At 42.7% G+C, this 20,571-nt stretch overlaps 1 protein-coding gene across 1 annotated transcript in view, besides 1 other annotated feature; it reads left to right on the top strand.

Moving 5' to 3' along the window:
* Positions 1 to 20,571, top strand: part of SPOCK1 (SPARC (osteonectin), cwcv and kazal like domains proteoglycan 1) — a 524,029-nt gene that overhangs the window by 291,083 nt on the left and 212,375 nt on the right. The gene's annotated exons all lie outside the window — the stretch shown is intronic.
* Positions 6,808 to 7,459: an enhancer, noted in NCBI's record as "OCT4-NANOG hESC enhancer chr5:136536474-136537125 (GRCh37/hg19 assembly coordinates)". NCBI's record gives its function as "activates a minimal SCP1, AML or CMV promoter by ChIP-STARR-seq in naive and primed H9 embryonic stem cells {active_cell/tissue: H9 hESC(naive and primed)}" and the evidence as "EXISTENCE:reporter gene assay evidence [ECO:0000049][PMID:30033119]".

Genomic DNA, 20,571 nt, shown 5'->3' with positions numbered 1-20,571 from the left:
CTGCCATCCAACAAAGAGAATCCTGTAATTGCCAGCCTTTTTTTGTTTTTCTCTCCTTCTACTCGTAAATAGAAAAAAATAATGTTTTTCTGGTTGGGAGAGAGGTTAAGCCAGTCAAAATAATTGGGGGCAAAGAGAAAAAGACATTTAAATTGGGATTATTTTGGGAGTGCTCATAGTGAGGCTGGCTCTTTTGTGGGTGTGAGGGAGATGAATGGGAGAGGGAGGGATTTTGATTAATGTTGCTGGGGATTGTATGTTTAGAACCTTTTAAAATGCCTTCCAGGGAGAGTAAAGGATGAAATTTCTGATTTTTTAAGTTGATAAATGAATGAGCTGTGCTCTGATTGTAAACCGTGTAGGATTGTGGACTCATAGGGTATGATACTAATTAAAAATAATAACCAATGGCAATAGTAAATCACAGGAACCACAAGTAGCATTTGTGGAGCATGAGCAGAGCAGGCTCGGGGCTGAGACTTTACATGCATCCTCTTATTTAACCCTCCAGCACCCCAGAAGCATCTAGCACAGGGCCCAGCACATCACATGTGCTCGGTAAATATTGGTTCCTGACCCCTGTCTTTTGTCCCTGAGTCATATTGCCACCTCCTCCACTGTCTCTGTTCCTGCTACAGGGCTCTATTAAGTCCACCCACAGTGGTGTCTCCATTTACCATCTCACACTGGCAGAGGAGGCAACCCAGGGGACCTATTGTTACCTGCAGGTAAAGCATATGGAAACCCAGGGCAGTGTTGCAACTGAAGCCTATACCTCTTCCTGCAGTTAGAAAAAGTTTGATTGAAAAAATTCATGGAGGAAATATATGTGCACCTGTAAATCATTTATTCACCATCCCTTCTACTACATAATACTAAATCAAGAGAATGCAGGTGCTTGTGTGTTGGTTCCAACTTAGAACAGCCCCCCACTGAAAAGGCTCCCTGCTGGTGGGCCTGTTCCAGGCCTGCAGGTGCTCATTCTGGGCAGCTGGGGTTGTCAGTGACCTTGGCAGAGTGATAGCAGTGCCGGCTGGTGACAGGCGTGGAAGGAACTCATCAGACAGGCTGCTCGGGGTTCTGTACCTGGATACCAGAGGACCTGGGCAAGAGGACATTCTGGAGACCTGAGACTGGAGCTGGGAAAATCTGTTACTCAGGGCCAAGGACTGCACTTTTATATATAGGTATATTTATGTACACATTCCAGGGGCAAGCATGCCTTACTCTCATATTCTTCACAGGCTGGTGCCTCTGTGGTTCAGCATGTGGCCTCTGGAATCACCTGGCTGATTTCAAATCTGGGGTCTGCCACTTCATCATCATCGTGTCCCTTTGACAAGTCTTTAAATCTCTCTGGTTCTCAGTTTCCTTGACTGTAAAATGGACTTGATACTTGTCCTGTCTTTATGGAGCATTTGAGGATTAAATCAAACAGCCCAAATACATCGCATAAGATGTTGCCTGGAACATAGATAATGCTTAATAAATGTCAGCTATGATGATATTTATGTGAAGTTTCTCCTGTTTGAATTAAATATGCTGGTTGTAACATATTAAAAGCAACTTTAATTTGTAGAATTACAATTAGCATTTCCTAAATACATCTACTGATACCTCACAGGAGCCCTAAGGAGCAGTTGGTTGATATAAGTGAAGAAACAGACACACGGTGGGGCAAGTCTCTTGCTTCTTGTGCCTCTGCTAGTAAATTGCAGGGTGAAAAATTCCACTGAGTCATGGCCCTGGCTTCTCCCATTCAGTCATGTACGCTTCTAAAATAATTTCACCTTGTTGGCTTTTTCATATGCTAAGGACTCTTGTTTCTCTTTCCGTGTTTGGCAGGCTCCTATAACTTGAAAGCTGGGTAGAGATAGGCAGGTGAACCCAGCGTGGGTGGCCTAGGAGGCCGGCATGGCCTTGGGGGCATGAAGCTCCAGAGGCTTGGAGGGAATTCTCAGGCCACTCTGTGGCTTTGTGTTTGCACTCTCAGAAGCCCTTTTCTTTAACCTAAACTTAAGTATGCTTCCACTTAGGGGTTATTATTGGCTTCTTGGAATCCAGCCCAGTGTGGCAGCCTTAACAAGGATGTTAAGTAGGTTTTTGAGCACAGCTAATGGTTCTTGTAGAGGAATTGTAAAGAATGATACATATTGAATCTTGCTTTTGAGTCGTTGTGCTGCAGGATAGTGTGAGGGTTACCAGTGTGTTTTCTGATCTGCCTGCCTGGCTTCTCACCCTGGCTTTGCCATTGTAGATATTTGACCTTGGGCATTATATGTTGACCTCTCTTTGTGTCTAAATGTTCTCATCCGTTCAGTGGTGGCAATGATAGGGTCTTTCTCATAGGGCTTTGGTGAGGACTAGATGAATTAATTTATACAGAGTGCTTGGAACTGTGCCGAGTACATGTAAGTGCTATGCAAAACTCAGTTAGATGTTCCTTTTTTCTTTAATTCCACTGTTTCTCTCCCCAGTGACCAGCTCAGGCTATTATGGCACAGAGATGCTCTTCAGTCTGTTTGTAACAAGTAAGAAATGTTGTTTGACCTTCAGTGGTGGCTGTGACTTGATCATGCATCTTCTCTAAAACTGAGTCCAAGAGGCATGTTTCAGGATCCGAGGTCACAGGGACATCTGCAATCACAGCAGCAGCTGGGAGAGCCACTGCATCCCAAGTGCATAGTTCCACTGTCTCCTTTCCTGCCACCCGACTCAGACAATTCATCACTGCCAAGAGCAGAGCCTTTTTCATCTCATGGAGTCATAGGGTGAAAGCCACCTACCAGGTTGTGTAGTCCAATTATTCATTTCCTGTAAACTGTTGACTTGTCCCTGCTTGAACATTCTCAGGCCTAGGAAACTCACTACCCACAGGGCACACAGCTCTTTAGAGAGCACGACAGCTTCCTTTCACTGACGTGCAATAGGCTGCCTCATATTTCCCATTCATGGCTTTTCTTTTCATTCTGAAACCATGTAGAGAAACATCCACATCTCACTTTACTCCTTGACAGCGCTTGAATAATTCATTCTTACCAAGTACCATGCCAAATTCTGTGCTACACAGTGACAACATGGCAGTGAATGAACTTGCTCTTGTGAAGCCTATAGTCTAGTGGGGAGATCAACTGGTAAACAAGCAAAAGGAGCATCAACTTCAGCAAACTTGTAAAGAAACAAATGGCGTACGGTGATAGGGAATAAATCATCTTCTTTGGAGTCATTGGGATTATCACTTCTTAGGAGAAAATCTTTTAGCTGGATCTTGACAAAGAGGGAGCCAGCCAAGCAAAGGGTGGTGGAGTTGGCCTTTCATGCAGACGAAACAACTTGCACATGGCCTTGAGGTGGGAACAAGCTAAGCATGCTCGAGAAGCAGAGGCGAGTGCTTCTAGGGTATATACAGTGAGGGGAAAAGAGCGGGATATGAGATTGCAGGGGTCAGTGGAGGTCAATTCGGATATGGACCTTATTCCAAAGGCAGGATGAAGCTGCTCAAGGGTTTGAAGCAGACAAGTCTGGCTGTTGGATGGAGACTGCATTTGGTGGGGTTGGAAGTGGGAAGGTCAGTTACAAGCTGCTTGTAATATTGCAGCTTGCCCTAGGGGTAAGTGCTAGAAGTGCAAGAGAGGAGGGGGAGTCTTGGGAGTATGTTTTAGAGGTAGAATCTATGGTACAGGGTGATGGGCTGAACAAAGGGAATGAGAGAAATGAGGTGAATTTAAGGTTGGCTCTTAGATTTCTACCTTTACTATTAGGTGGGGGAGGGTGCCATTTATTGAAGGGTCCTAGAAACCAACTGATATGTTTCCCTCTTTCCAATCTGCTGCCTCAGTTTTCCATCAGAGCTGAGTCATTTCTGCTGAGACAGTGCGCTCTCCCAGACACAGAGTGGGGATGCATGAAGCATTTTAGGTTTTGTTCCATCAGGTTTACAAAACTGTCTTCTATTTTTAAGCTGTTTTGCTACTGGCTTAATATCACTACAAATATTCTGAACAAAATAAAAAAATAATATTAGCATCTAACATTTATTAAGCCAGGGCTAAAGACTTTGTAGGCATGATATTGATTGATGCCTCATAACAGACCAAGAGTTAGGAGTAGTTATTTCCACGTTACAGAGGAGTAAAACAAGGCTAGAGCTGGTTGGATAACCAGCCCAAGGCCACCAAGCAAATGCAGAGTACAGGACAAATCCAGATCTGTCAGAATCCAGAGCCCCAGCGCATATCCACTATCCAGAGTTACTCTGTGTGTTGCCAACATTCCACGTTTAGGGAGAATTCAACTTTTCCCCTCCCTTTGGAAGTGGTGGCACATCTACATTGCTAATCCACATTACTTAAGAGGGATTTTCCATAATGTCCTCCAATCAGCTTGATTAATTGATGAAGTAGAGACAGTTATGCAAGAGTGACATTGCTCCTGATCTAAGTAGTTTCTTGTTTACATGTGCAACGTTAGAAAGCACCCTATAAATCAAAAAGTTGTAAGCCGGATAAAGCAAATAACTTCTGTTGATGACTTGGTGAGATACTTTAAATTCATTTACGTGGCCCCGTATGCCAAGTTCTCGAGGATTATAGAGAGAAGATGATTTTCTCATTTAGCTAAAGCACACATTACCCTTCAGGTAAACATGGTAATGTCATCCTAAGAAAAAAAGTGTAAATAGCAGTAATGATAAGGAAATCATATAGTGAACATTGGTAATTAGAAGCAGCTCCCTGGGACTTCCCCAGGGAGTTAATGATAAGCTGCTTAGGCCTGGAGCCATTCATCGCCTTTTTCACTTCATGAGATGAGTGACATGTCTTTAACCTTGCCACCCTAATTTGGGGAAATGTTCTCATCACACCTGGGTGGTGATGCTGAAGCTCTCGTGAACCTTATCAGTGAAGATCTCATATCAGGTGCCACTTTTTCCCTCGATGATGAGGCTGAGCTCATCACCTGGGCGCTGGGACACACTAGATCATCTGTTGACTGCCAATGGCCAAGCACAGAAAAGTATTTGAAATCTATTACTCATGTCCATGGTGTCAGTTACCACATTTAGAGCATTAAAAGACAGGCTGTCATCAGTTAGTTACTTGGTAAACCAAGGTAATCATTAGCCTAAATGAAGTTTCATTAAGGGTAATGTACTCATTAAGCACAAAATGGCTTGAAAAAGCTGAACTATCATCATTTGTTAGAATAACCCAAACCTTGGCTAAGAAGGTTGACTTTCACCTTTGTGCAACAAGCAATCAACATTTAATTAGTCGAGTGCTTTGATTTGTTGATTAGAATGCAACAAGGACGTGAATATGTATGATGTTCTTAAAGTAACATATTCAGATCAGCCACAGATTTTCTGAAGCTACTTGTCCAGCGAGTTTAAAAGGCTTACAATGAATATGGATGCTAGTGATTATTTATAGAAGAACTCTTCTATTCCCATCCTTAGCCTTTACAAAGTTATTTTTGAGTTTACTGTGACCTGATTTTTAATTCCAGGAAAAGAATGCTTTGCTGTTATTTTCCTTTTCAAATCAGAGTTCCTCAAGTGAAGGAGCTGTTTCAGCCTGTGAACACCTAACTAATTCATTTACAAACTGAGGAAATGACTTTTGAACTGAAAGCCTCTAAGGGCTGTTCAACACAATTTTTACTCATTGGTTCTCCTGGAGGCATTTATACATGCTGGGAACACCAAAAATTGATATCATGTACATTTGTGTATGTACATTCCTGCATACAACTATATCAGGATGGATAAAACCAGGTCTCAAATGGAGTGGAATACCAGCTTGTCCTGGGCATTAGTCTGGCTTTTCTGGTTTGTCATGTTGCATGAAACCTTCTGGGTTTCTATTTCCAACACAAGAAAAACATTCAAAAAATTGTGTATTAGCAGTATATTCACAAGCAAGTGTTTTGTCCAGATTTTGAACAAGTAGACAAACCATACCTTCCCCCATGACTTCTTTCTTTCAGTTTTTCCTTTTCATCATTCTATTCATAGCCTTTCCTGTGTTGGGATTGGAAGTGGTGAGGATTTGCTACAGCTACATGAGTCTGGGATGTCCCTAGAGGCCGAGTCATAAGAATGGGATCAGTATGATTGGGAAATGATTGCATCCAATGATGCAAAGCCCATGCTCTGCTCAGATGGTTGGCCACGTATTGTTCCTTAGCAGGCTTGAGCACCCCTGTAGGTTGGAATGTTCAGGCACAGGCTGCAAAGCTAGTGGGCTGGGAGACTTGGTACCAGTGCCACATCTGGGCCTCGGTTGGACTGAGAGTTGTGTGGCTTGCTGGGGTGCAGTTTCAATGTGCATTTAAGTCTCATGGGTTTTGTTTTCTCATTTTATTTTCCCCTGCATGGAATAGAGCTGGGTGTATTTTTAGTATAGGCCCCTCAGAGTTGATAGAGTATTGGTATGAAAATGATGAAGAAGAGACAGTGTGTACCGTTTACTGTAGCCATTATCCAAGTTGGGATTAAGCAGTCTTTCTCAGTGTGGTGCAGCATTATCTTTGCTTTTTCTTTCCATTTTTCTAGAGGAAAGCTTATATTGCTGTAATTGTTCAAATGAAGTATGCACATGAGGTATTTTCAAATGTTAACGTTGGCATTGGTACCAGGGCTTGGATTACATCCCAAACGGGGCATCTCTGGGACTTAGTTAATAAGGTTCTGTTTATATTAGCATTGAGAATATTAAAATTCTTCCCCAAACAGCTGGAAATGTTACGGTGGCTTTGTTTCTGAAGCATAACAGGAATGAAGCACATTATTAATTTGGAAACAGGTAGGTAGAGCAGTCCTTCTCCCCCACTAGAATTAAGTGATGAGAATGGGTATTTGTGAAATTGACTGAATGGTCTTTGGGGGATGCTTATTAAAATCCTAACATCGTTCCAGAGTTTTGTAGTGGATTCATTATCAGCTGTAATCTTATTAGGACTGTTTTGTTTTGTAATCAACATTCCATCCATGGAGCCCCTAGATGGGCAGCATGCTTCTCTGCTGGTCCAGTCCTTCTGGTCTCTTTTGTTCTGATGAATTAATTCCTCTCCTTTTCTGTCAATCAGATCCTTCACTCAATGTGAGACATTGTCTTGCTGATGCCTTTCCCTTCCTGGGACAACTCAACAGGACAGTTGCCTTGATGTCTGTATTGTTTCCTTTTTGTTGTTATTTTCTTTCCCCAAGAAAACCACATTCTAAAGATGCCAGTGGACAAATCCCCGGCTGTGTTGTAAAACAGAGTGGGGCTTGCTAAGTACATCAGGGTCTATTCACAGTGTCACTGGCCCAACTTTTCAATTCATACTCACAGTGTCATTAACAGAAGACTTATTCTAGAATCGGCTCTGGGTTCCAATTCCAACCTCAGGAGGTTTTTAAACTACTCAAAGCCTCAGTTTCCTTGTTTATAGAAGAGGGATTCCAACAAATACCTAATGCATGAGGGGCTTAAAACTAGATGGTGGGTTAATAGGTGCAGCAAACCACCATGGCACATGTATACCTATGTAACCTGCACATTCAGCACATGTATCACAGAACTTAAAATAAAAAATGGAAATAAAAAAATTAAAATTGAAAAAAAGAGGGATTCAAATTTGTAAATTCATCCATTTACTCCCATTCACTGAATGAATAGTAAGTACCTACCTATTATGTGCCAAACACTGTTCTAGCAACAGTAAACCGACAGGAATGCCTGCCTTTCTGGAGCATAGATGCTGGTGAGGGAGACAGCCAGCAATCAGGCTAAATCAGTAAAACACAGAGTCTGGTAGTGTAAGTGTCAAGGAGAAAAAGTAAGGCAGGGAAGTGGGGGTATAAAGTGAGGAGTTGACATTTTATTTTTTATTCATTTTAGGAGGTTTGATATTTCAGATGGGGCCAGGGAAAGGCCTCACTGAGAAGCTGCCAATGAGCAAAGACTAGAATGAAGTGAGGAGGCAGGGACATTGGGGAGAGGGAAGCAGCAGGTTCGGAGGCCCAAAAGGGTGCATCTGGCCTGTCTGAGGAATCACAGGGACATCTGGTGGAGGGTGGAGGGGGTGGAAAATATTTGACAATGAAAACAGAGAAGCCATGGGGCCATGACTAATACAGAAGGACTCTTCACTTTGAGTGATATCATGGGATCACAGACTAAATGGAAGAAGCAGGGAGACCACTTAGAGGCTGCTGCTCTAGCGCAGGCTCAGGGCACTAGGGGCTTGGGCCAGAGTGGTGATGCCAGAGGCGAGAAGATGCTGCTGAGTTCTGGCTATGTTTTGGTGAGTTTGCTGCTGGAGTCTAGAGGGGGCTGGCAGCAGGAAGTGCTGATTTTCAGGGAAGGATGGGTGTTCATATCAGGATGCGTTAGAGGCTTCTGTGTTGATGGTTGAGTCTAGTGGTCTGAATGTCAGGGGAGGGACCCAGGTTGGGCATGTAAAAGCTTTGGGAGTCATCAGCTTGTAGTTGGTATTTAGCACCATGAGATGCATCACCTAGGCAGAGAAGCAGGGGCCTAATGACTAAAAACTGGGTTCTCTGACATTCTGAAGTTGGAAAAATGAGAAGACAGTAGAAGAAGAGGCTGAGAGGAAATTGCTCGAAAGGGGGAGGAAACTCATGAGAATGTGGTGTCCTAGAAGCAAAATAAATGTTCAAGGAGGAGGAGGAGATCATTGGGGTTTAATGCAGCTGATGGGTCAGGTAAAGCAAGGACTCAGAGCTCATGAGGTTTCAGTAGCGGCCACAGAGAGGTGAGCACCATCCTCGTCAACTTTGTGCTCAAAACTAGGTCTGTTGTGACTCATGCAACCCAGGAGGCTCTTTTCTAACCAGCCCGAACTTAAGAGAAACTACGCAGAGAACAAAAACCACAGCTGAGATGGGAATCCATGAGGTGAAGGAGGGTCATTGCTGGCCTGAGTGGTATTGATGATATTGGAGGCATGTGTCAGACTGATGCCATGTTCTTCTGAACACAGGGTTCATTGTGTCAACGTGTGGGCTGGTTCTAAGACAGGTGGCTGTCATCGCAATAAGGTGGCAGCACCCTGTGTTCTCCTGGGTCACAATGTGACAGAATCCACTGACTCAGACTCTGAGGAAGATGAATTTTTCCTCCTTAAAAGCTCAGTAAACAGTGAAAAAGTTAATGGACAGAACAGTGAACTAGAATCCACAAGTCATAAATAAATCCTGATAGTCATTGGTAGGTCTTTGACAAACGGTTATGGCAGCATCACATAAAGGATTGTTCTCTTGATGGTGCTGGGAGATTTTGCAGATACTTTAAGGTAGATTTTGCAAATGCTTTAACGTAGCATTCCATGCTACCCACCAAAATACATTTATTCAGTCGTTTAGTATTTATTCAGAAGAGTTATGTATAAAAATTTAGAACACGTAATAGAAGACATGGTTGAGTTTTCATCTAACCATAAAGACAATAATCTTAAAACAAGTTTGGATACACTAAAATTAAAACCTGTCAAAAATCAAACAACACGCCAATCAAATTAAGAAAAACGTTGCCACAAATAAGTCAAGGAGATGCTAGCCATACTATATAAAAAGCATTTACAAATTAATAAAAGTATTAAAGTCTTACTAGTAAATAGACAGAGATGAGCAAAAAATTTCGTAGACTGTAGATAAACAATTAGCATGAAAAAGTTTAACTTCATTAGCATTCAAAGAAGTGAAAAATGCAACAAGAAACAATCTTTCTGTTATTAGCCAGTATTTTTTGAAAAGATAGTGCTTACTTTCCTTTCTCCCTTTGATAGCTGTTTATCCAGCCCGTCAATATGGCAAGCACTATGCTAGAAAGCATGGAGGTATAAATTCTGGAAAGCAGTTAGCCATATATTGAGAATTTTAAAAAATACATATGTTTTGTTAAACAGTAATTTATCCTTTCAGAGTCTCTTCTAAGGAAATGAAATTAGGACAAGGACATATGCAGAAATGCATTCATTGCAGCATTATTTATAAAACCAACATTTAATGAAACATTTGTTGGTGAACTGTTATGATGGATTAATTTTGATACTTTTATAGAATAGAATATGTGAAACTTTTTTACATTTGTTTTTAAACAACAATTATGACATAAAAAAGTGAAAAGGTCAGAATATGACAAAGTTTATATCACATGACCCCAATTTCATAACAGAAAAATACTGATGTCAATATAACGAAAAAAACACTCTATTATGTCTATAGGGGGGTGGTATTACAAATTATTTGCCTTTCTTATTTTTGTACAATTCTGACTTTAAGAAGTTTTACCAGTAGCAGTGAGGAGGATGATTGTAATATTTACTTAGTCCTCACAGTGTGTCAGGCACTGTATCAGGTACTTTATATAGATTGTCTTGTTTAATTTCTACAACTAGGATATAAATTGGGAAATACTATCATAGCCATTTAGTAAATGTAGAGACTGAACTCTGGTAGGTAAGTAACTTGCCCATGGTCAAACAGCTGTTAGGAAGTGGAACTAGATTTGAACCCATTTAATGGCTTCTTATCTCCTATTCCACATTACGTCTCAATTAAAATGTATTACTGTGATGAATCAGAAAAAAAGAAACTTAAAAAAATTTTTAAAGGAATACAATGTGTTACCAAATTTTATTCTTAGTATGAAGATTTTTCTCTTCTAATGGAAACTAGAATTTGAATTTCCTGTGGCAGGCATGTCACACACATTATCTTATTTAATCCTCATGCAGCCTTGGCAGGTAGATATTGTGATTCTTAACCTGACCTTGTTGTGCATGGGAAAACTGGCCCAGAGTGGCACAGTGACTTGTCCACGGTCACATAGCCAGTGCACTGCAGAGCTGGAATTCATAGTTCTGCTTCCTTTCAAAGCAGAATTCATAGTTCTGCTCCCTCATCCCTCATCTCCCAGAGTATCTCGATCTTCCTCAGCCACATCTTTTTAATGGTGCAAAACAAGCAGGTGCCAGCAGCTTACTCAGGACAGTCATTTGTTCTGATGTGAGAGGGCCCTGAAGCTCCTGGACATATGAGTTCCAGAGCAGGTTTTGGTTGTATGAATGCAGAGATTCATGTCTAAATGAATTCTGGAGTCTTCGCAGAATCAGTGAGCCTCCACAGTCATCCAAAGAGTGTAAGATCCTGATCGTGTTGTCAAGATTAAGGTGATGGTCCTCAGGTGGGTATCCTGGCACATAGGGGACTTTGGTCAACCTCTTTGCCTGGATTTCTTCAACAGCTCCGGGGTGACTAGGTTATTTTCTTTGCTGAATGTCAATTTAATTGAAGCTAGATATGGATCCTCTCATGAAACTAGACCAGCTATTGCAAGCCCTTTGATGCCAGGATTTTCTGATTCAACAAATATTTACTAAGCTCATATTGTGCAGGGGGCACCCTGAAGAGTACTGGTCACATGATGATAAAGACAAGCACAATTCTTGCCCTCCAGGAGCTTATAGTTCAGTGGGAAACATTAACCAAATGATCACATAAATAAATGTAAATTTTAAACAGTGATATGTGTCAAGTAGAGGCACACAGTGCTCCAGAAGTTTATAAAAGCAAGATCTGATATAGTTGGAGGCAGTCAGGGAATGCTTCCTTGAGGAAGTGGCATTCGAGCTGAGACTTGAAGGAGCTAAATAGGTTAAAGCAGAGAAGGAATAGCATTGCAGCCAGTGGCATCACATGTTTAAATACTCTGTGATGGAAGGCAGTGGATGGGAGGGGGTCAAAGAAGACCACTTGCAGAGAGTAAGGAAAGCCTGGTGAGATGCCACAGAGGGACCAGCTGAAGCCAGATGGCCCAGGGCCATGCACCTTGTGGAGTACTGTCCTCATCCTAGCAGCAATGGGAACCCACCGAAAGGTTTTCAGGCAGATGCAGAGGGCTAGGCGACAGATTTATGTTATGAAAAGTGCTCTCTGGCTGCCATGTGGGGAATGGTTTGGGCAGGGAGAGCTGGGGTTTGGAGTCTGCAGTTGGGAGACTGTTGCTGTACATTAGTCTTAGGTTGCACTAGAAAGGAGCTGGTGCTGGAGATGGTGGCACGTAGATGGACTCAGAATAGGTGAGGGGTGTCAGAGGGCCTGAGGCAATGATCTATGAGGTAATGGGTAGCAAAAGTGGGTCTTCTATTTCTTGAGATCCTTCACAGCATTTCGCATTGCCCTGGGCACATGGTAGATGCTAATTTGATTGACTGGTGCTCTTGGGTGGCCTGAGAGAGTTATTCTCTTCTCTTTCAGTCTTCCACATGCCCAGGATGAGGTATCTTAGTGACTCTGGGGGCCATACTTTGTGACAGTAGCTCTAAGAGACTTGTGGGGTGCACACAATTCTGCATATTTACTACTACCCAGAGGGCTGGCATCTGCATCCCTGGCTTGGCCCAGCCTATTCCAGCCATCCTGGAGGGATGTTTCCCTGGTGCTGCCAACCAGTCATGTACTCATACCTATCTTTGCATTTCCTGCTGCAGGAGCCTGCCTGGGCTGAGTCACCTGCCTTGGAGTAGGTAGTCTGGGTGATGACTGACATAAAGTTTCCAAATCTGGAGCTGTGGGCCACCCTCACATCATGCCATGCACATTGGCAGCAGTCCAAGCTCAAGGCTGGCCTACTGTAGCCTGTGGCCAAATAGGGTGGCCGTCATGCCTAAGCCCCATCCTTCATCCACTGCCCCAGCTCCCACATCTTCCTCTGCTTAGTGAGGCAGTAATGATGTCAGCGCTGGAACTCAGAACTCATTTTATGGCTGCCTGCATGCTTTGTTAAGATATCTTCAAAAAACAATTAATGTTAAGCAAAACCACAGCCCTAAAATTATCTTCGTAAATGTCTATGAGATTCTGGTGAACTGCCCACTGCCCATCAAGGCAAAGTGGCAGGTGAGTATCTGTGAGAGAGGCCTTCCTGGAAGCCAAACCACTAAATAGGCAGAGGCTCCTAAAAGTTGGAAAGAGAAACAAAGTGGAAGCGAGTAGAGGGAGTTGGAAACCTGTCTACATATGTTGGCTATGCTTTCAATGAAGGGGCATTAAAAGGACAGGCCAAACGAGCTTATTTAGTTTGGTTTAAGAGGGTCATTTTACATTGTTAGAGTGAGAAGAAAACAAAAGAAGTGATGGATGACCCCTTTGCCGTGTGGTGAATTTAATTAGGGATTGGGGGCCTGGTTGGTCTTTCTCCCTCACTCACGTGTTGGATGTGGAGGGAATCAGAACCACATTGAAGAGAGAGAGTGGCTGCTCTCAGCACGTTGTTTTCATTGTGGTTAAACCTGTGGAGCCTGACCAGACAGGACCAGGGTCCTTTGTGGTACTGTGCATGGTGATGGCATCCTTTATCTGAAGGCTCTGACCAGAAATGGGCTTGTAGCTGCCGGCTCAGGGCTGGTGCTTATGGGAGGCTCAGATGGGAGCTTTCACTGAGTCTTCGTGGACCTGGAGAGGAGAGTGCTCACTGAATGCTCTGGGGTAGAGGGTGGAGCCACGGGGTGATCACTGCCCTCCTAGAAGGAAATCAGGTGGGGCCTGGTATGGGAAGCAGGAGTCTGGTGCCCGGGAAAGAGGAGGATGTTGGAGGAGGGGAGGAAGACTTGGCTGTGCTCTGTCAGCTCCTAGAGGGCAGGGCTTTCCATGTCGTCCTTCTATCTGCCCAGCATAGCGTGGCACAGGGCCGAGTCCTGAGAAAGCAAAGACCAGTGCTCTTGCCTGGCCCCCCACCCTCAGCTCTTGGCACTTTCCACCCGCCACTCTGCTTTGAGGAAACTGAATTGCTGCAGTTCAGCTAACAGGCTGCATGTTCTCTCACTCCTGCGCCCTTGTACGAGCTGTTCCCTTTCCCTGAAACGCTCTTTCACTTCTTTGACTAATGCCCTGGCCCCAGCACAGTCAATACCTCATTAACAAAAGTGATCAAGACCACCATGCTACTCTGTCCCCTCATGATGAGCTATTGAATCTGCAAAGCATGAAGGAAGAAAAGTTGCTATTGTAGCCATCTCTTTTTCCACCTGTGGGTGATACTGTTTGGAGTGGCTGGCCCAGGCTCTCCCTGCCTTCTGCCAGCAGCCCAGGAATTAAATAAGCAATTAAATGCTTCGCCATTCTGCCCAACAGAGTGAGGTGTGCAATATTTTTTCTTAGGGCGAAGGGAAGAAGCTGTTCAGAGGGCTTCAGAGCTGCCTCTAGGGGAGGAGAGCTGACCCCAGCCATTTTGGGGCTAGGGTAGCCTGATAGGTTACCTACATGATTGCCACGTCATCTCTCACCCATTCTAATTTCCACACTATTAAATCTGCCTTTCCTAACATATCCTTAAAGGGGAAATAAATTACCGGCACCCTGTACCTATAGCCCTCCATGTTATTACCGCTAATGTAACTTCTCTGGGGCAGCCAGACGCTGTTCATGTTTCTTAGCCATTTGCACCCCCAAAGCTATATTGAGCTATCAAGTATTCATGGACACCATTCAGACCTCTCATTTTTCTCTGCTAGTTGTACCCAAAGGTTTGAGGGCAGAATGAAGCAAGGGCTGGCTGCTTTACTTGGGGCTTCAGCTCTACCCTTTCCATCCCTTCTTTAATTAGGTTATTTCATCAGAGGCGGACACCAAGCATGACTTATAATTCTCGTGATATTCTATGGTGACTGCCCATTATGAGTCTGTGGAGATTTCTGTATCTCACTTAATTTGCTAGAGAATGGTGCTGGGGGTGGTTGGTTCTGATCTATCCCTGGAATGTCTGTATGTTTCTTCTCCACTGCTTTCTGCCTGCTCCAGGGCCTCCATCACCCAGTTACTATAGCTAGAAAACTGGACATCAAAATTCCTTCTCCCCTTCCATCACTTTCTACCTCCCCTTAACGTCCCAGTCAATCCCCAAGGCTTTGGGTCACCTCCCAGGCATATCCCAGGTTTCTTCACTTCTCACTGTCTCTTGCCTGGACCTCCTAATTGCAGCAACCTCCTAATTGGTCTACCCCTTCCTCTACCTCTTAGGATCTCCTAGTTTAACATGACCCTCTTAAACCTCCTAGTTGCAGCAGTCTCCTAATTGGTATACTTCTTCCAGTCTTTCCCCTTCCCCTCCAGAGTCTTTGCCACACAAACATCAGGGTGATACTTTCTTCTCTGTTTAAAAATGCAACTTTGTATCTACCTACCAGCATTAATACAGCCCTATCAGCTTCAGAGCTTTTACTTACAAAAACAAAACATCAGAGATTTGTCAGTGAGGACCCTAGTATATCTTTCCCAGATCTCGTTCTCTCCTTGCCTCCCTAGAAGTAATTACAATTCTGAATTTGGTATTTTTCATGCCCATGTGTATGTTTTTACTATGATCTGTAAGTAAACATTACATACTATTATTTTGCACATATTAAACCCCGTACAAATGGTATCACACTGTTTTTTTCCTTGACATAGTCTTGAGGTTTTTCCGTGTTGTTGGTTCATGCAGTTCTAGCTCATTCACTTTAGCTGCTGGGCCATAGTCTATTGTGTACAGAATGATTTATTTGTCCATCTTTCTGTTGATAGATAGTGTGTCATCTTTGCAAAGTATGAATCACATCATGTTTCTCCTTTGTTTACAACCCTTCAGTGCCCTGGTTAGGAGGCTGTGCAGGAAGTGTGGCCTTGTTTGCCCCTGCCCATGCTAGGGACTGCACAGCCCACACAGGCAGATGCCAGGGAGGCAGTCTCAGGAGTGGGAAAAATCCTTCTAATGTAAGCTAACTCCATGCCTTTCCTTATTCCCACCTAGCAGTGGCTGGGATTTGGTGTGTGACTAACAAATAACACGACTCTGCCGTGTTGAACTTCAGGTCTTGGGAGCTGGGTATTTGCCAGGCTTTCATGTGTGTGAGGCTCTCCTGCACAACTCATTCCTCCCTCCGTCTCTCCATGCAGCACACAGCCCTGGGAAGGAGACTCTCTGAGCTTGTTTTCCTTTTCTTTTTTTTTTTTTTTTTTTTTTTGAGACAGAGTCTTGCTCTGTCACCCAGGCTGGAGTGCAGTGGTGTGATCTCGGCTCAACCTCCACCTCCCGGGTTCAAGCAATTCTCCTGCCTCAGCCTCCCGAGTAGCTGGGACTACAGGTGCACGCCGCCACGCCCAGCTAATTTTTTTTTGTATTTTAGTAGATACGAGGTTTCACTGTGTTGACTAGGCTGGTCTTGAACTCCTGAGCTTAGGCAATCCACGTACCTCAGCCTCCCAAAGTGTTAGGATTACAGGTGTGAGCCACTGCACCCGGCCACTGCGCCTGGCCGCTTGTTTTTCATACTGCTTACTTTTTCATTATTTGTTTCCTGTATCTTTTCCGCAAGGACAGATGGTGAGTTTGTTGGAAAGTAGAATGCAGACATTGGGAATTTTCTGGAGCTGAGCACCTTAGTTTTAAGACTAGTAGACTTTAGGTATTGTTTCAAATTATTCCCCACACATTAACGTCTCCAGTGACCTTGGCCAAAGGCAGTGAAGGTCATCAGTGGTGTACATGGCACATAGAATGTGCCATTTTCTATTATGAAAAAATAGCTCCAAGCCTGTTTTACCTGATGGGCCACTGATATTGTCTGTAATTTGGAAAGTATGATTGATCTATTGATACTACAGGTCACATACTGCAGTTTTGAAAAAGAAATTTATGATTCATGCGAAGGTTTTGAGGTACTGGATGAAATCTACTTTATTTCAAACAAAAGTTTTTATGTTCAAAGTCCAAGTACATTAGACTTCTTAGCTAAACCCTAGAGTACGGTTTGTGTCTTAGAGTCTACTGATACAGAATTTCCATCATACAGCAGGCCTTCTCTGGAAACCAGTGGTATGAGATCCTGTGGTTTGCTTAGCAAAGATTATGAAAAAAGAGAATGGAGAAGATTAGTTAGATACATATTAACTAAGGACTTACTCTGGGCTTTGAAAGCTGTGTGTTAACTTATTTATTCTTCATAAAACCCATGTGAGGGGATGTTTTATGTTTCTCATTTTTCAGAAGAGGAAACACTCAGAGAGGTTAAGTAACTTGCTCAAGATCCCAGCCAAGAAGAGTTAGAATCTTCTTTCTCCCATATCCTGTTGTTTCTGGCCCTCTGTAGCTTCTAGCTGGGAAAATAAGACAGAAGAATTAATGGAGAAGAGAATAGAAGACAGCCAGGAACATTCTGTATCCCCAGATACAAAGGGTAGACACTGACAGGAAGGTCTTTCAAGGCTTGCTTCTCCTTGTCTGGGACAGGCTTATTTCCTAAGGCTCTGAAACAGGTGGACCTCAAAATGAGTTCTCCTTGGTTTGCTCAGAAAATATACATAGACCTGTATTCATTGCCAGTGTCTGGATTAGACAGCAGCCCTGCTCCATCTTGACCTCAGTCTCTTGGAGGAATGGGAAGGAAGGCTGCAGATGAAAAGGAGCTCTGGGGAGGCAAGTGGTTTGTCAAGCTTTCCTGAAATGTGACATGTGACCTGAAGGACCTGAAGGCTGGTAGACAGGGTGGGAAAAGGATTTCAGGAGAGGGAGAACAGTATGACAAAGATTCCAAAGTTTAGGGAGCACAGAGTACAGGCATACCTTAGAGATACTGTGGGTTTGGTTCCAAACCATTCCACTAAAGTGAATATTGCAATAAAGTGAGTCACACACATTTTTTACTTCCCAGTGCATATAAAAGTTATATTTACACTATTCCAAGCAGTAGGATTATATCTTAAAAATCAATGTACATACCTTAATTTAAAAATATTTTATTGCTAAAAAATGCTAACCATCATCTGAACCTTCAGAGAGTCATTGTCTTTTTGCTAGTGGAGGGTCTTGCTTCAGTGTTGATGGCTGCTGACTGATCAGATTGGTGGTTGCTAAATGTTGGGGTGGCTGTGGCAGATTTTAAAAATAATACAACAATGAAGTTTGCTACATTGATTGACTCTTTCACAAAAGAATTCTCTGTAGCATGCTGTGCTGTTTCATGGCGTTTTACCCACAGTAGAACTTCTTTCAAAATTAGTCAATCCTCTCAAACTCTGCTATTGTTTAATCAACTAAGTTTATGGAATATTCTAAATTCTTCGTGATCATTTCAACAATGCTCACAGCCTCTTCACCAGCAGTAGATTCCATCTCAATAAACCACTTTCTTTTCTCATCCATAGGAAGCAACTCCTCATCTGTTCAAGTTTTATTAAGAAATTATAGTAATTCAGCCACATCTTCAGGCTGCACTTCTAGTTCTCTTGCTATTTCCTCCACATCTGTAGTTACTTCCTATTATGAAGTCTTGTACCCCTCAAAGTCGCCCATGAGCATTAGAGTCAACTTCTTCCAAATATCTGTTAATGTTGGTATTTTTACTTCCTCCCGTAAATCACTAATGTATTTAATGGCATATAGACTTATGAATCATTTTCGGAAGGTTTTCAATTTACTTTGCCCAGATCCATCAGGAGAATCAATATCTATGGTAACTATAGCCTTATGAAATATATTTCTTAAATAATAAGGCTTGAAAGTCAAATTACCTCTTGATCCGTGGCCTACAAAAAGGGTGTTGTATTAGCAGACCTGAACACAACATTAATCTCCTATATATTTTCATCAGAGCTCTTGAATGACCAGATGCATTGTGAATGAGCAGTATTATTTCAAAGGGATCTTTTTTTCTGAGTGGTAGGTATCGTAACCGTGAGTTTAATATACATAGTAAACCATGCTGTAAACAGATGTGCTGTCATCTGAGCTTCGTTGTTCCATTTTTAGAGTACAGGCAGAGTAGCTTTAGTGTCATTCCTAAAGGCCCTATGATTTCTGGAATGGTAAATGAGCACTGGCTTCAACTTAAAGTTACCAGCTGCATTGGCTCCTAATGAGAGGGTCAGCCTGTCCTTTGAAGCTTGGAAGCCAGGCATTGACTTCTCCTTTCTAGCTATGAAAGTCCAACATGGCTTCTTCTTCCAATAGAAAGTTGTTTTGCCTGCATTGAAAATCTGCTGTTGAGTGTAGCCACCTTCACCAATTCTCTTAGCTAGATCTTCTGGATAACTTGCAGCTTCTCCATCACCACTTGTTGCTTCACCTTGCACTTTTGTGTTATGGAGATGGCTTCTTTCTTTAAACTTCATGAACCAATATCTGCTAGCTTCAAACTTTTCTTTTGAAATGTCCTCATCTTTCTCAGCCTTCAAAGAATTGAAGAGAATTAGGGCCTTGCTCTGGACTAGGTTTTGGCTTAAGGAAGGTTTTGACTGGTTTGATTTTCTATCTAGAGCACTGAAACTTTCTCTATACCAGCAATAAGGCTGTTTCGGTTTTCTGTAATTTGTGTGTTCACTGGAGTAGCACTTTTAATTTCCTTCAATCATTTTTCCTTTGTATTCACAACTTGGCTAAATGTTTGGCACAAGATGCCTAGCTTTTAGCCTGTCTCGGCTTTCGACATGCTTTCTTCACCAAGTTTAATCATTTATAGCTTTTGATTTAAAGTGAGAGATGTTGGACTTTTCCTTTCACTTGAACACTTACAGCCCATTGTAGTGTTATTAATTGGCCGAATTTCAATATTGTTTTATCTTAGAGAATAGGGAGGCCTGAGGAGAGGAAAACAGATGGGGGAGGAGCCAGTCAACGGACCAGTCAGAACACATAAAACATTTGTTGATGAAGTTCACCATCTCATATACATGTGGTTCATAGTGCCCCAAGACAAATACAATAGTAACATCAAAGATCACTGATCACAGAGCACCCTAATACATATAATGATAATGACAAAGTTTAAAATATTTCAAGAATTACCAAGATGTGACACAGAGACACAAAGTGAGCACATGCTGTTTGAAAAATGATGCCAATAGACTTGCTCAACTCAGGTTGCCACAAACCTTCAATGAGTAAAAAATGCAAGATCTGAGAAGTTCAATAAGCAAAGCGCCATAAGATAAGATATGCTGTATAGGCAGAAAGTGGTGGCCACGTGTGGCTGGAGCAAGCGGCAAGTTGGGGGCAGGTGTAAGATAGGGAAGAATGGGGCCACATACGTGGGATCTTGGATAGCATAGTAAGAGCTCCCAACCTTTCTTCTGCCATGATTCACCTGACTCAGGATGTCCTGTGGACTTGCCTGGGCTGATGCTCACCTAATAGGATTGTAACTCCTCTTCTCTACACTGCTGCTAAGCAAGAGATGTGTTCTTATCAGACAACCTTATATTTGCTCCAAGGGGTGGAAGGATAACCTTCTAAAAACTCCCGTTCTTGAGCCATTGTTACTTCCACTAATTTATGCTAACTAATTACTTGGCTATCTCATAATGGATCATAACCCTTCCATGTGTCAGAACACCACTACTGGTAGCTTTTTGAGGGCATCTGCAGGGAAATCACTGAGAGTTGCTGAGGGGAAGTGACCTGAACAGCTTTATCATTCTCTTTTTTAGGCTCCCACATAACTATACACAGATTTCTCCTATTAACATATTGAATTTTAATGGTTCCTGTCTTGTTTAGCAGTGACAGCCACCAGGAGCATGCCTAGAGT

This window comes from Homo sapiens, chromosome 5, assembly GCF_000001405.40.
Source record: "Homo sapiens chromosome 5, GRCh38.p14 Primary Assembly".
Lineage (NCBI taxonomy): Eukaryota > Metazoa > Chordata > Mammalia > Primates > Hominidae > Homo > Homo sapiens.
The sequence above is the reverse complement of the archived record's forward strand: the minus strand, read 5'-3'. Positions and strand labels throughout refer to the sequence as shown.